The sequence below is a fragment of the Homo sapiens genome, chromosome 20, assembly GCF_000001405.40.
Source record: "Homo sapiens chromosome 20, GRCh38.p14 Primary Assembly".
Lineage (NCBI taxonomy): Eukaryota > Metazoa > Chordata > Mammalia > Primates > Hominidae > Homo > Homo sapiens.
The window spans coordinates 49,092,794-49,109,446 of record NC_000020.11 but is presented as its reverse complement, the minus strand read 5'-3'; the positions used below and the strand labels follow the sequence as shown (position 1 = coordinate 49,109,446).

The following is a 16,653-nucleotide window of genomic DNA, read 5'->3' as shown; positions in this document are numbered from 1 at the left end:
CCACCACTACACCTGGCTAATTTTTGTATTTTTAGTAGAGACGGGGGTTTACCATGTTGGCCAGGCTGGTCTTGAACTCCGGACCTCAAGTGATCTGCCCGCCTTGGCCTCCCAAAGTGTTGGGATTACAGGCGTGAGCCACTGCGTCTGACCTATTATTTTTAACATATTGAGGAACTGCCAGTTTCCCACTGCAGCCATCACTTTCCAACAGTGCATGATGGTTCCAGTTTCTCCACATTGTCGCCAATGTTTATTGTTTCGTTAAATAGTAGCTGTCCTAGTGGATATGAGGTGGTATCTCATGGGGGTTTTGGTTTGCATTTCCCTAACGATGTTGAACATCTTTTCGTATTTATTGGCCATTTGTCTATCTTCTTTGGATAAATGTCTGTCCAAGTCTTGCCCATTTTTTTTGAATCATGTTGCTTGTTGTTGAATTTTAGGAGTATTGTGTGTATTCTGGATATTAATCCCTTAACAGATGTGACTTGCAGTTTTTTTCTTCCCATTCTGTGAGTTGTTTTTTCATTCTGCAAAAGCTTTTTGCAGAAAAGCTTTTGATGCAAAAAAGGTTTTAATTTTGATGAAGTCTAGTTTGTCTATTACTTTCTTTTGTTGCCTGTTTCTGGTGTCATACTTAAGAAAACATTGCTAAGTCCAACTCATGAAGATTTGCGGATTTGCCTCATGTTTTAGTTTTAGTCTTAGATTTAGGTCTTTCATCCATTTTAAGCTAATTTTGTGTATGGTGTTAGGTAAGGGTCCAGCTTCATTCCTTGGCAAGTGCACACTGTTTTCCCAACAGTATTTGTGAAAAGACTGTCCCTCCCCCATTGAATGGTCTTGGCACCCTTGTCAAAAATTACATGGAAGGACTTCTGGATTCTCTTCCTTTGGGGGGGGGGGGGGTGTGTGTGTGTGTGTGTGTGTGTGTGTGTGTGTGTGTGTGTGTGTGTATATATATATATATATATTTTTTTTTTTTTTTTTTTTTTTTTTTTTGAGACGGAGTCTCGCTCTGTCGCCCAGGCCGGACTGCGGACTGCAGTGGCGCAATCTCGGCTCACTGCAAGCTCCGCTTCCCGGGTTCACGCCATTCTCCTGCCTCAGCCTCCCGAGTAGCTGGGACTACAGGCGCCCGCCACCGCGCCCGCCACCGCGCCCGGCTAATTTTTTGTATTTTTAGTAGAGACGGGGTTTCACCTTGTTAGCCAGGATGGTCTCGATCTCCTGACCTCATGATCCACCCGCCTCGGTCTCCCAAAGTGCTGGGATTACAGGCGTGAGCCACCGCGCCTGGCCTTTTTTTTTTTTTGAGACAGGGTCTTACTCTGTTGCCCAGACTGGAGTGCAGTGGTGCAGTCTTGGCTCACAGCCTACCAGGTAGCTGGGACTATAGGCGTGTGTCACCATGTCACCATGCCTGGCTGATTTTTTCTTTTTTTTTTTGTAGAGACAAGGTTTTACCAAGTTGCTCAGGCTGGTCTTGAACTCCTGGGCTCAAGTGATCCTCCCACCTCAGCCTCCAAAGTGCTGGGATTACAGGCGTGAACCACCGCAACCAGCCTCCTATATGTCTGTTGTTGTGCTGGTACCACACTGATTTGATTACTGTAGTAAATTTTGAAATCTTAACCTATGAGTCCTTCAGCTAAGTTTTCAAGATTGTTTTTGGTTATTCAGGGTCCCTTAGGATTCCTTATAAATTTTAGGATGGGCTTTTCTATGTCCACAAAAACTGTCATTTGTCCCCATCATTTTTTGAAGACTAACTTGACACATTGAGATATTTGGGGTTCATCTTGTTCTTTTCCTTCCCCTAGTCCTGATTCAGCCTTTTTTTTTTTTTTTTCTGAGATGGAGTCTCACTCTGTCGCCCAGGCTGGAGTGCAGTGGCACCATCTCAGCTCACTGCAACCTCCGCCTCGTGGGTTCAAGCGATTCTCCTGCCTCAGCCTCCCAAGTAGCTGGGACTACAGGTGTGCACACCACATCTGGCTAATTTTTGTATTTATGTTTAGTAGAGATGGGGTTTCACCATATTGGCCAGGCTGGTCTTGAACTTCTCACCTTATGATCCGCCCGCCTCAGCCCCCCAAAGTGCTGAGATTACAGGCGTGACCCACCACGCCTAGCCTGATTCAGCCATTTTCCTAAGGAGCCCTGGTTCCCTCTACTAGAAGACAGCATTTAGAAACCAAGATCTGAATGCTCTGAGGGCTTACTGCTACTGGGGTGTTATTGTTTCTAGACCTCTGTAGCGGACAGGAAATCTATGTGTATATATATCTATACACATCTATCTGTATGCATTTGTATACTCAGTGTTCTTTGTAGCCTTCTCCTCTATGTTCTCAGTGCATTCTCCAACACTGAGATTGTCTCTCTCTTGGATCCTACAGTAGATAAGCTTGGGACTCAGTCGGTTCCCACATTGGCATTGTTTTTTTTTTTCAAAAAGTGGGTGGTGACTGCATTGTCATGACTTTGTCCTCATGGTCATTAAAGGGAAAACTTAACGGGTAATGGTTATTTCCTCATAGCTGTCTTGAGTTTGTTGTTCTTGTCTCATCCTCCCCATTATTTTTTTCCTGAAGTATCTTAATGCTAATCCTAGACTAAAACATTCACCTGTAAGTATTTTCACCCATAGCTGGGTGTTTTTCTGGGTTTTCAGGCCTTCTTAAGCCAGAGTAATGTGGATAGGTCTTACAAACAAGTATCACTTCTGAATCTAGTTTACTGAGCTGTTTTTTTAAGTGGCTTTGTTGGGTGAATGCTCAGTGATGGACACCATAGTCTGGATCCCTCCTGTTAGGAGGGCGCCTGGGATTGGTATGATCGACAGGAAAACATATTGGCCTTTCCCAAAAGCGTGATGTTGCTGCTTGCTTTATAGGGATCAGTGTGAGTTCAGTAGAATAGGATCATCCCAGGAAGCAAACCTGAGGCCCGAGAGGTCTGGCTTTGTTTGCACATAACATGTCAGAAGCATCCACTGGCTGGGCATGGTGGCTCATCCCTGTATTCCCAGCCTTTTGGGAAGCCACGGTGAGTGGACTGCTTGAGCCCGGGAGTTTGAAACCAGCCTGAGCAACATAGAGACCCCCATCTCTACAAAACAAAAAAAAAACAGAAAACTAGCCCGGCATGGCACCATGGTGGTACCATGGGCTTGTAGTCCTAGCTACTTGGGAGGCTGATGTGGAAGAATCACTTGAGCCCGAGGTCAAGGCTGCAGTGAGCTGAGATCACGCTACTGCAACTATAGCCTAGGTGTTGGAGACTCAGCCTCAATAAAAAGCAGCAGTATTTATCACTACTTCTGGTTTAAGGGCTTAAATGCCTGTGTGCTCTTAAAAACAAAAAACTTACTTGAAATTCCAAATCAATAAATACTGGATTTGTCAAGCACTTAATCAGAGCAGGATTAGCAGAGGGAAGAGTGGAGGAGTTGGCCAATGTTCTTAAATAGGGCTTTTAAAGAGATACATTGTTTTAAGAAGCAATGGCTAACTCAAAGATAGGAGGTGGGAGTTTGTTAATGGGCAGCATAGCCATCTTCTTGGATTTTTTGTAAACCTTTCCTGTGGTGCTGAGTTCGTGGAACTTGTTACTTTGTGTACTGTACTGATGTGTTTAATGTCTGTATACAAAGCATGTAAGGACAGCATGTGCATGTGAAACTAGTCTGTAGGACATTCTCCTCAGACTTCTTTGTAATTTAAATGGCATCCCAATTTTCATTAGTGAAAACTGTAGGAGATGTGTACAGCTTTATTATGTGCTTCTAACCTAAGTTTAATATTTAAAAAATGCATTCATCTGGCCGGGTAAAGTGGCTCAGCTGCAGTCAGGAGTTCAAGACCACCAGCCTGGCCAACATGATGGAACCCCGTCTCTACTAAAAATTAGCCGGGCGTGGTGGTGGGCACCTGTAATCCCAGCTACTGGGGAGGCTGAGGTTGCAGCGAACCGAGACTGCACCATGGCACTCCAGCCTGGGTGACAAGAGCGAAACTCTGTCTCAAAAACAACAACAAAACCGTTCATCCACACATTCTTTTACATTCACTGAAACCTACAAACATCAGGTCTGCAATGACAACAGTAAAGCAGTCTATGTATAGTAGCAATTTTGTTTTGCTTTTTGAGACCGAGTTTCAGTCTTGTCCCCCAGGCTGGAGTGCAATGGCACAATCTCAGCTCACTACAACCTCCACCTCCCAGGTTCAAGTGATTCTCTTGCCTCATCCTGAGTAGCTGTGATTACAGGTGCGTGCCCTCACACCAGGCTCATTTTGTATTTTTAGTAGAGACAGGGTTGCACCATGTTGGCCAGACTGGTCTCGAACTCCTGGCCTCAGGTAACCCACCTGCCTTGGCCTCCCAAAGTGCGGGATTATAGGTGTGAGCCACCATGCCCAGCCAGTAATTTTTAAAATTATTTTTTGTTTGGGGTTTTTTGGAGACAGGGTCCCCCTGTCACCCAGGCTCAGACCAGTGTGATCATGGCTGACTGCAGCCTTGACTTCCCAGGCTCAGGCTGATCTTCCTGCCTCAGCCTACTGAATAGCTGGGACTACAGGTATGTGCCATTATGCCCAGCTAATTACAAAAATTTTTTTTGTAGAGATGTGGTCTCACTGTGTACCCAGGCTGGTCTCAAACTTGAGGTCAAGCAATCCTCCCACTTTTGGCTCCCAGAGTGCTGGGAGGCATGGGTCACCATGCCTGGCCTAAGATGGTTTTTTAATTTAAAAGTAGATTATGAAAAATTTGGAAGTTGCCCACAAGCCCTGTATCCAATCATAAATCTTAGTGTGTCTTCCACCCTTTCCCAGGCAGCTCTACCACGACCTTACCTACAGTGCACACACAATGGCTCTTTCAGTTGTCAAGCGAGCTTTGAGGTGTGCCTGGAGCTTTGATTTTGCTTGGTCTCCAGAGCTTGATGGGGCACAGGCAGGATCAGGTGACAGCCCCTCCTCTTCAGAGCTGGGCTGCTCCAGTCTGGCTAGTGATTGTTCCCACTCCTTAGACTGCAGTAGCGGCCTCACTAGGAATCTCCTCCTGACCCTGGATGGATTAGCAGGCAGCTGATGCCCCTTTGGAATAAGGATCTCTACTAAGGGTCTGTCAGCATCCTGTGCGTCACTTCTTCAGACTCTGTTCTTTGTAGTAGTTGCCTTTTTGAGTCTATTTGTTATGGCTGCCAAAAGACCTCCCAAGGCAGATGGCCTGAGATTCTCTGTAGTTTGGAAGTCGCTTGGCCCTTTTGCTGTGCAAACCTCTGACTGGTGTCTGTTCTGTACGCAGAGTGTATGTGCACCTGGTGGGTGGCTGAAAATGTGCTGGCAACTTTGTAATGTGTGCCTGAAAATTCTGAGTCTTAGTAAGTTTCTTTCCTGGTTCCTTGGATTTATGAACAAGTACAATGTAAACACCGTTCAAGGCTGAATCAAACTTCAGCTAAGAAAACTGGAAATGCTCAGAACTTCTGCAGCCCAGGGGCCACATTATTTTTGGCCCAGCGAGGCCCATAGCTCCCGGGGTGATGATGCTCAGCCCCATGGGCCCTAATTACCACAGCTCATCTTTTTTCTGCCACCTCTTGCACAAAAGTAAAGCTGTTAATTTCACATCTTTAAAATGTGGTCCCTTCCAATTTTTGTGGTCATGAAGCTTTAGACCACTGTTCTCAAACCTGATCTTCACAATTTTTGCTACCGTCTATGTCTTACTTACTTTTACTTAGCTTTATCCTAAGTCATGGCTCACCAAATTGAACATGCATCCCATCACCTGGATGGGTTGTTAAAAGGTTGCTGGGTCTCATTCCCAGAGTTTTTGATGAAGTAGTTTCTACTAAGCACTTAGGTGCTAAGTGATGTTGACGGTACTTTAAGAACCACTGTCCTAAGCAATATCACCCATGAATTCCTAGTGACTTTTTTCTAGTACAAAATATACAGCCATAAATGACTGCGGTTCCTCTGACAGCACTCCAAATCTTGTGAATCCTGGTGGGAACTGCTGCCTCAGGGGAAGTGCAGGGTGACTTTGGCCTGATGTGCCTCAGCTGGCTCTGGAGCACCTCTGGCCCATCCCGTGGCCAAATCCATCCTTTAGTTTCCTAAGCACTCAGTTCCTAAGCACAGTGGGGAGGGCCAGGTGTTCCCATGGCTGGGGTTTGGAAGGGCCAACCTGTGGCAGTTGGCTTAGGTTGCTGCTTCCTCCTGACTGGCCAGGATGCTGTGCAGGCACCACTTTAGAGACGTCTTCCCTGGTTCCCGCCTGAGATCGATAAACATGGCAGAGGAGGCTCTTTGTGTGGGGCTGCCTCCACCTGGACATCAAACCTGTGGCAGGGGTTGCCTGGCCTTTCCAGGACACCAAGACTTCCTCTGTCTTGGATGGGGAGGACCTGGCGAGTGCCAAGCTTCTCCTCCCCGTGCCCTGCTGGACCCACTTAAGAGGGACTCGGGATCTGTCTTCTCTGCTATTTGCTGCAGAAGCACAGGTTGCTGGGAGCAGCGATCCTTTTCCCCTCTGGATCCAAAAGCGTTGCCTCTAACTGCTTACAAGGCGTTATCTTTCCAGTCCAAGGTGAATAAACCTGTTCTCGTTTTGCTTCTCACTTCTCCAAGAGGTCTCCTTTTCCATGAGGTCTGAGAAAACAGTCTTGGGACTTACCTATTGTGGCTCTTTCTTGACATGAACACTGCGTCTATGTTGCCAGATTTTTATCTCACACCATCCCATGTGTAAGGGAAAAAACCCAGAAATCGGCACAACTTCATAGTTTGTCTCCCTTCCCCAACCACACAGTGAGCTGCTTTACCAGACACCTTCCTAGAATGGAGGGGCTGGAGGAACTGACCATCAGCCCACAGCAGTTCCTTATTATCAGGGGTTCTTAGCTCATTCAGAGAAACCAAAGGAAAATGCCTCTAAATTATTTTCAAAGGGTCCATGAAACTCCTTTGCCCTATCAAAGAGCAGTCCTACTAAGAATACCTCAGGGTAGACCCTAAGGATGAGCCCTGCCTTGCAGTCACAAAGCTCAGCCACCATGTTTCTCAGACAAGGAGTAAGAGCAAGGACCAAGCAGGAGGAGGTTTGCAGAGCAAATGCTTAGGGTTTACGAAATGGAATAAACGGTCATGTCCAGCAGGCTGGATACAGGATTGTGCCTAGGGATTGGTGCGGGGGATGCTCCTATGAATAGGGACCCAAGAATTGTCACAACCAAAAAACACCCATAGTGTATATTTTAAAAACTTATTAGCAAAATGCCTTGTGATCATGCCCTTATTAGCTGATTAGCTGTTTCTAACTTTTGCCAAACCATGGCATAAGTGGCTAAGCCAGAATGCTCTGGAAACCAGACTGCCAGGGTTTCAATCCCGGCTTTATCCAGCTGTGTGATTCGGTAAGTTTCTGTACTCAGGAATAAGAGTGTGAACCTGTTTGATTCTCAAAGACTGCATGAATAGTATTTAGGCACAGTTTTGGGGTGGGGGTCATTGAGGGGAAAGGAAAAGTAGAGTAGAAAAATGAACTACTTTAGAACAACAAGGCTAACAGGCAAAAGCAATGAATCAAGAAAAAAAAAATCATGTGGTATTCTAGGCTGAGCACACGTTTATCTCCCACAATGAGAATCCATTAATGACAGCAAAGAGGAGAGGGAGGTCAGCAGTAGGGAGTTTCTGACACAGCAAAGTGGATACACATGAATCCTGAAAGGTGACCTCGCAAAGTGGAAGCCAGGGCCCTGAACACCAGCAAGACAGGCCAGTGGGGATAGGAGCTCATCTGCCCCCTGGAACACTGGAATGGAGAGGCTCCAATGGGGAACCCTAGCAGCCTACCTCAAGAACTGTTGTGGCCCACAAGAGCCAGGGCTGTAAAAAGAAATCCAGGGGCAGAGTGGAAGGCACGCCATGTAATACCCAGGATGAAAAAGAAAGCTAATAAAAGTCCAGAAAAACCACCATGAGAAAGTCAGGATCCAAACAGAACACAAGCTAAAATGGGGAGTACCTTTGAGCAACTGATGAAATATGAGGAGCAAACTCCATTCCATTTGACCTTAACCTTACGAACATTCATTCTCTCTTGAGGGATGCAGAAGTCAAGACATGAGGAGAGGGAAATGTAATCTTTGCACACTGCTTGACACAGCATTAAGCCCAGTTCACACTGTCATAACAAGTGTTTATCAGCTTCACCTTTTAAAAGGGAACTACAGATAATGCACAGAAAACAACTGGAAATATCTCCTTCAACAATGTGAAAGTGAAAGCAGAACCCAGCAATTAGCAAGCCTGAGAGGCAGAGGGTAGGGACACATCTTCGTTGTCAACGCTGAGGATTCAAGAGACATTGACAAAGATGATTAAATATTTTTAAAAAACAAAATGCTATTACAGATGCTCCTCAACTTACGATGGGGTCACATCCTGATAAACTCACCATAAACTGAAAATATCATAAGTTAAAATGCATTTTAATACACTTAACCGACCCACCATCCTAGCTCAGTCTAGCCTACTTCAAACATGCTCAGAACGCTTACATTCACCTACAGCTGGGCAAAATCACCTAACACAAAACCAATTTAATAATGAAGAGTTGAGGCCATGTGTGGTAGCTCAAGCCAGTAATCCCAGCACTTTGTGAGACCCAGGTAGGCAGTTCACTTGAGGCCAGGAGTTCGAGACCAGCCTGGCCAACATGGTGAAACCCCCGTCTCTACTAAAAAATACAAAAAATTAGCTCGGCATGGTGGTGTGCACCTGTAGTCCCAGCTACTTGGGAGGCTGAGACAGGAGAATTGCTTGAACCTGGGAGATGGAGGTTGCAGTGAGCTGAGATCGTGCCAATGCACTACAGCCTGGGTAGGAGAGTTAGACTCCGTCTCAAATAAATAAATAAATAAATAAATAAATAAATAAATAAATAAATAAAGTAAATTGGAAAGCAGCTATGCTCACCACTATACCAACGTGGCCAACATGGTGAAACTGTCTCTACTAAAAATACAAAAATTAGCCAAGCATGGTGGAAGGTGCCTGTAATCCCAGCTACTCAGGAGGCTGAGGCAGGAGAATTGCTTGAAACCAGGAGGCAGAGGTTGCAGTGAGCTGAGATTGCACCACTGTACTCCAGCCTGGGCGGCAGAGCAAGACTCCCTCTCAACAACAACAAAGTTAAATTTAAAAAAAATGAATTCTACCACATGTATGTAATAGTTTGATTAAATGCCAATCTGATTATGCCTCAGAAGTAAGGAAAAGTACCATTTTTACTTATCAAAATGGCAACCAAATAATGCCCAGTGTAGGTAAAGGTGTGTTAAAGAAACTGACATGAACTTTGCACAAGAAAATTGGCTCTAATTCCACCTTCAGGAACTAAAAATTGATGCATAAAGATGTTCATCTCAAGAGTTGTCTACAAAATCAGAAAACCTCCAAGACATCCAGCAATGACTACAATTACATAATCTGGTAATGATATATCCTAATGATAAATCACATATATCCACTGAATGTTTACCAAGTAAATATGGTTTAAAAAAATTACAAAACTATATACAGAATGATCTCAAATGAACCAAAATGCTTAATGTAGGTAGGAATATGAATTATTTTTAATTTTTAAATATTTTTTCTTTATTTTCCAAGTTTCCCACAAAGAAAATACATTTAAAATAAAAAGTCGGTGGCCAGATGTGGTGGCTCACACCTGTACTCCCAGCACTTTGGGAGGCCGAGGCAGGTGGATCACTTGAGGTCAGGAGTTTGAGACCAGCCTGACAAAACATGGTGAAACCCTGTCTCTACTAAAAATACAAAAGTTAGCTGGGCGTGGTGGCGCGTGCCTGTAATTCCAGCTACTCGGGAGGCTGAGGCTGGGGAATCACTTGAAACCAGGAGGTGGAGGTTGCAGTGAGCCGAGATCACGCCTCTGCACTTCAGCCTGGGCTGAGCAAGACTCCATCTCAAAAAAATAAATACATAAAAATAATTTAAAAACTCAATTATTTAAAAATCAGCTTGTTAAAAGACATGATTGAATACCATGGAGAATGAATGCACCTAGCAGGAAGCTCTGATGAGAAACCTGGCAATACTTCCCTTCTGTAAAAACACCCTGGGGTACAGGTGGGGCCGCCCATGCCAGGACTCTTCTCCACAAAGCCTTCCCGCCTTCCAGGTATGCAGCACATTGGTAAGTGTGCTCAGTAACAAACGCTTCCTCCCACCCAAGCCCTCTGCTCCCCCAGCAGCTTTTCCTGATGTGTGCTTACTCTGCACAGGTTCTCTGCTTGAGTACTCTACATGCATCATCTCATTTTATTCTTACAACCACCTTGAAGGTAAATAATATGCTCATTTTTCAGAAGAGAAAAAAAAGGCATAGAGGTCAACTCATTTGCTCAAGGTCATAGTCAGTAGCAGTGCTGTAACTCAAACCCTGATCTTCATACCCACAGTGTGCATCACCACTGAGCTACAGTCAGTAAGGCTTGTGAAGAAAAAAGAAAAAAACCACTCCAGCAGTTTCTGTCCACCATGTCCTAAAATCTTTAAAGCCAGATATAAAAACTGTCTTGGACGATTGAATAAGCAACTTCAATAGAAGGCATTTAAAAAAATTATTTGATAATTAATGAACTGTGCTAAAGTAAGTAAATGTACTAGTCTTGCTGTTCAGTAACTATTTTAAAAGGCACACCATCTACTACTCAGCCTTTTGAACTGAAGAAGGAAAACGTTTCGAACTCGATCTGAGTTTAAGATGTTGAATCAAGCAGCCTCCAGAACGGTATCTGACTGACTGTTCACAAGCAGCTTCAGGAAGAGCAAAGCCAAATAAATACTTAAGGAGCTCATGTGAGTGAAAAACATACAGAAACCATCACTAGCAATTCCCTGTTGTCCCAGACTTTCCAAATAAATTGTGGCTTAAAAATGGCTTCAGTAATATTTCAGTATCTTTCTACCAACGACCACTTAAGCCAAAGTAATAACGTAAAATGTAGTATTCCCATTACTGTGTCAAAACCAACAACAACAACAACAACAACAACAACAACAACAACAACAAAAAGCCCTTAAATGACTAGATGGTACAAATAGACTTAAGAGAACTTGAAATTTCTCATGCAACATTACAGAAACAAGTGGCTGGGCACAGTGGCTCAAGCCTCTAATCCCAGCACTTTGGTAAGCCGAGGCAGGCGGATCACAAGGTCAGGAGTTTGAAACCAGCCTGGCCAACATGGTGAAACCCTGTCTCTACTAAAAATACAAAAAATAGCCAGGCATGGTGATGCATGCCTGTATCCCAGCTACTCAGGAGGCTGAGGCAGGAGAATCGCTTGAACCTGGGAGGCGGAGGTTGCAGTCAGCTGAGATTGTGCCACTGCACTCCAGCCTGGGCAAGAGTGAGACTCCGTCTCAAAAAAAAAAAAAAAAAAAAAAAAAAAAATTCAAAATAAGAAAAACCATTCGAGTCAAGTGCCTAAGATTAAAAAAGTTATCACCAGGCACAGTGGCTCACGCGTGTAATCCCAGCACTTTGGGAGGCCGAGGCAGGCAGATCATGAGGTCAGGAGTTCGAGACCAGCCTGACAAATATGGTGAAACCCCATCTCTAATAAAAATACAAAAATTAGCTGGGCGTGGTGGCGGACGCCTGTAATCCCAGCTACTCGAGAGGCTGAGGCAGGAGAATTGCTCAAACCCAGGAAGTGGAGGTTGCAGTGAACTGAGATTGTGCCACTGCACTCCAGCCTGGTCAACAGAACAAGACTCTTATCTTGGGGGTAAAAAAGAAAAAAAAAAGGGATATCGATAACTCCTGTGACAAATCACTTGAGCTGGGAAGACAAAAGTTCCAGTTTAACTACACTGAATGGACAATGAACAATTCCAGCATAAACTGTGCCTCACAAAATTTAGATATTCTGATTCTTCATTCCTCAGAAACGAATGCTGTACAATTCCATGGGCCAGGCCAAGGGAGGGAGCCAGTGCAACCAAGCTCACCAGGCATCCGGCCGGATCCACCACTGGACTGGACTTCACGGTTCTAAGGTGTCAGGGTTTGAAAAGTTCCAAGTAACCTCCACTCTCCAGGGAACAGCAGAGATGAAAGAGATCAAAACATCCACAGTCTCAAGTACTCTCGACCGCCATCCCATTAAGCGAGGCAGAGCATTTCTCCCAGAGGAGCCACCTACCCAAAACTCACACTGCCACCTAGGAACTGCTACAGAAAATTCTAGTAAATAAGCCCCAAATCTATATTAATGTCCCCTTCCCCCATATAAAAAAAAAGACTAAATAATCTGAGTTTACATGATTTAGAAATTAGGATTTTACAGAGTCCAGGAAAGGAAAAGGAAGAAATTTAAAGAAATTCTTCATTTTTATAAAAGCATGAGAGAGCACTGAAAACCTGCCCTTAAGATGTTCTTAGGTACATATTTTAGGATTTTTATTGCTGATTACAGATTTGAAACTATGAAATGTGCACTGCTTGGCAAGTAACACAAGTAATTCTTTACTTATTCACATTTCCAATAAAAGCGTAAATAAACAGACAAAAAATATAAAGGACAAGAGAAATACAAATAGCAACAGCTTCAAAACAAAAGGATTTAGTAACAGAAAGTCTCCACAGTGTCCGTCAAAATTTAAGATTATCCAAACCGTGCAAACGCTCAACACAAACCAACGCCATACACTGAACTATTAATACTTGTCCCTTGAAGTTGCAAACTAGAAGCCACCCACATAACTGTATGATCACACAAACCAACTAATTTGCTCAAGGTTCAGGTTAAAGCAACATTTAATATCCTTTACAAGATGGAATTCGTGACAAGTTCAAAAGGAGAACTTCCTTTGTTTTAATGCAGCTGTGCTCAGAAGCCTGTGATTTCCTAGGAAACCATCTGGGTTTAGCCCATTAGAAAAATGCAGTTTAAAGCAGTGTCACACTGGCTGCCTGAAGGTACCCTTGGAGATACTGGAGCGCTTCTGCATTCAGGCTGGTGCTCACCATTGATGGAACCTACAAGAGATGGGAAACACACACTGGCTGTTGGAGATCTTGGTGCGCCAATACAAACCCCATCTTCTACGGGAGAGCTGCCACAGCTCTGGGAAGAGCAGCCAGTCAAGTCATTAATCACCATCCAAAAATTCTCCAGAAACTCAACTGCTTTTATGCCTTCAAAAATAGGTCTAAAGAAAAGATCCATAAGGAATTACTATTATTAGGTGTGATAGTGGTATTGTGGTTAATTAAAAAGTCCTTACTGGTTAATGATGTAGAATAAGGTACTTACGCGTGAAACGTATGATGTCTAAGACTTGCTCAATACAGAGAATAAAAGGAGAAACGAAACAAAACTGGCAAGATATTGGTAATTATTGAAGCTGGGCACATGCAGGCTTCATTATGCTCTTTCTATATATGTTTGAAAGTCTCCGTAATAATACAATGAAAAAATATATATACATATATATACACACGCCACACACATATATGTTTTTTAAGAAACGGGACCTCGCTCTGTTGCCCAGGCTGGATTGCAGTGGCACTGTAATAGCTCACTGCAGCCCTGGCCTCCCAAAGCACTAGAACTACAGGCATAAACCACTGTGTCTGGCTTGAAAAATATATATTTTATCAGGTAACATGTAAGAACTCTATAATAAGTGCTGACAAAATGCAACTATACAGTCATTATTAGGTTTATGCCATGATCTATTAATTTCTGAGTATGCTGCAATTAAAAAAAAATAACTGTGTCCAGGCTCACACTTGTAATCCCAGCACTTTGGGAGGCTGAGGGAGGAGGATGGCTTGAGCCCAGGAGGTTGAGACCAACCTGAACAACATAGGGAGACCCTGTCTCCACAAAAAAATAAAAAATTAGCTGGGCATAGTGGGTCCTAGCTACTTGGAAGGCTGACAGGCAGTAGGATCACTTGAACCTGGGAGGTTGAGGCTGCAGTGAGCCATAATCGTACTACTGCATTCCAGCCTGGATAAGAGTGAGACCCTGTCTAAAAAAATAAATAAATAAAAATAAAAATAAAAAAATGCTACCACATTTTAATAATAGATGGATTACTTCGATCTGGGAAATAAACTCTTATTATAAAGTGCTGACAAAATGCAACTATACAGCCTTATTACATTTCTATTGAAGGGATTTTTCCTCCTTTGTTCTCACTCCTAAATCCATTCACTTAAAATATATTTGTAGTACATAATACAAGAAAAAAAGGGCTCAGTGTTTTTAATTAAAGAAAATAAGCTTGCTGTAACTCAATGAGATTTAGTTTTATTACGCCCACCAATGAAAACAGACACCAGAACTACTACTATCCTTTTGCCCTCCCATTAAAGTCTCCATTTATCACAGAGTTCTTTGACAACACACTTACCCTTCCTGGACAGGCGGTAGACAACTTGTGAAGTGACTGTGCCAGGTGAATTTTGGGGTTATTCACCATTTGACCTACAGGATCATGCTCTTTTTTCCCAGCAAATGCCAACTGTGAGAAGGCAGTCTGATATCCTGGTGTATCTTCTATGTCAATAAAATGTTCCTCATCAGGAATGGTATCATCTTCGGGTAACTCAAAAAGACCAATCAAAGACTGTAATAATGGAGTCCTGGATTGGAAGAAAGCAAGAGATAAAAAGGTCAAGAAAATACTCGGAAGACTTAAAACCAGCAATTGCTCAGAGACACAAAATTACAGACTCATAGTCTCAAGAATAAAAGGGGACCTTTGAAATTAAGATGGTTCTTTTCTTGGCTTATTCAGTTCTTCCCCTTAAAGATAAGTCAGTTTAGTTGGGCTTCTGTCATAAAATTGTCTTAGAGATCACCTAGATCAGACTCTTAAAGGGGTCCATGAATCCCCCTGAAAAAGAAGCAGGAAACAAGATCATTCTAAGCCCAGAAGGATCCAGAAATCATGTCTTGGATCTGATTGTGGAGAAGCTGAGATCAGACCAAGATTCTCTTGGCCCCCAAGAGAATAAGCTTTGTTAATTTTGCAGTCATATGGGAAGGAAGCTGTAACTTACAAAAATATTAAAATGAAGTACTTACCACAGTTTGGTATACTCAGTGTCCATCATTGGGGGACATTCTGTTAGTAATTTGGTTATGCCAACCGCACAGATCTTTTTCTCTACATTTCCAGATACCTTCTGAATTTCAGGAATAATAATTTTTTCCAAAACCATTCCAAACATTCTATTAAAGCAAAATAAATCAACTTAATATTAGATTATCACTATAATGAAATAGTAAAATGCTTAGATGTTAGTTACTTCTTATGAATATGATAAATTACTAAATAACAAGACTGCTGTTTTTGATCATCTGAAGAGACTGAAAGTCAAAACATAAAAAAACCCCATCACACCTCTACCCTGTAGCCAAATGCCATAATCTTTTTCTTTTCTTTTTTTTTTTGAGACGGAGTTTCGCTCTTGTTGCCCAGGCTGGAGTGGAACGGTGTGATCTCAGCTCACTACAACCTCCACCTCCTGGGTTCAAGCAATTTGCCTGCCTCAGCCCCCTGAGTAGGTGGGATTACAGGTGCCCACCACCACGCCCGGCAAATTTTTGTATTTTTAGTAGAGATGGGGTTTCATTGTGTTGGCCAGGCTGATCTCGAACTCCTGACCTCAGGTGATCCACCTGCCTCAGCCTCCCAAAGTGCTAGGATTACAGGCGTGAGCCACCATTCCTGGCCCTCTCTGCTTTTTTCTTTAAAAATTACACCTGGCCAGTCTCAAAAAAAAAAAAGAAAAAAAAAAAAAAAAGAGAGAGGAGCAAGGAGGGAAAAAAGGAATCATCCCACCACCCAGAAACAACTAGTTTTAACATTTTTGGGTTATAAGCTTCCCAACTGTCTTTGCTTACATACCTGCAGGTACATAAATGCTAATGGCTATTTAAAATAATTCGGCCAATCATTCTATGTTGTTGCAAACATGCTAGAAGTGAAGTTTTCCGTAATTCTAAATGATGCAAAATCCTCAGTTTATGCGTTAATAGAACCAATTCTTTGAAGTGGAAATATGGCTCAAAGGGTATGGCAATTCTAATGCTCTGGATAAAAAGTGCATACATTTTGCTCTCTAGAAAGATCAGGCTAATTCAGGCTCCCACTAGCAGTGCATGAGATTTCCTCAAAATCCCCTACTGCCGGAAGCCATGTTTTCTGGTCTCCTTTCCAGAGTAATTCATTTTTTAGTCAATGTAGAATTTTTGAGACATAACTGAGGTACAGGGATCTAACTGTCCCCGAAGAAATTTTCCCTAAGAGTTGTTCTTTATCTTATCGTTATAATTGTTTTATTCCCTACTAATGGGAAATGCCACCTAAATACATTCTTTGCATATATACCAGATAAGTCAAAAACAAAGTTAATTTATTGGTCCTAAGTATTTCTCATTTGAAAAATTCTGCTGTGTTTGCATTAGCAGCACATATACTAAAATTGGAACGATATGGATTAGCACGATTTTTTAAAAAAGGGGGAAGGAAAATTCTGGTTTTTTTTTTTAATTATACTTTAAGTTCTAGGGTA

The 16,653-nt window shown here is 42.9% G+C and overlaps 1 protein-coding gene across 4 annotated transcripts in view; it reads right to left on the bottom strand.

Moving 5' to 3' along the window:
* Positions 1-12,497: 12,497 nt before the first annotated feature.
* The window catches only part of CSE1L (chromosome segregation 1 like), a 50,638-nt gene continuing 46,482 nt past the window's right edge, over positions 12,498-16,653 (bottom strand). For 3 of the 4 annotated variants that reach the window (NR_045796.2, NM_001316.4, NM_001256135.2), the window contains 3 exons: positions 15,161-15,307; positions 14,484-14,715; positions 12,498-13,098 (listed from right to left, as the gene is read on the bottom strand). Coding sequence is in view for 3 of the 4 variants with exons in the window: in NM_001316.4 (NP_001307.2) it covers positions 13,009-13,098; positions 14,484-14,715; positions 15,161-15,307 (469 nt within the window). In the remaining variant the exon portion in view is untranslated. Of the gene's footprint in view, positions 13,272-14,483; positions 14,716-15,160; positions 15,308-16,653 lie in introns of all 4 variants that reach the window. The other variant, NM_001362762.2, reaches the window with a different exon arrangement.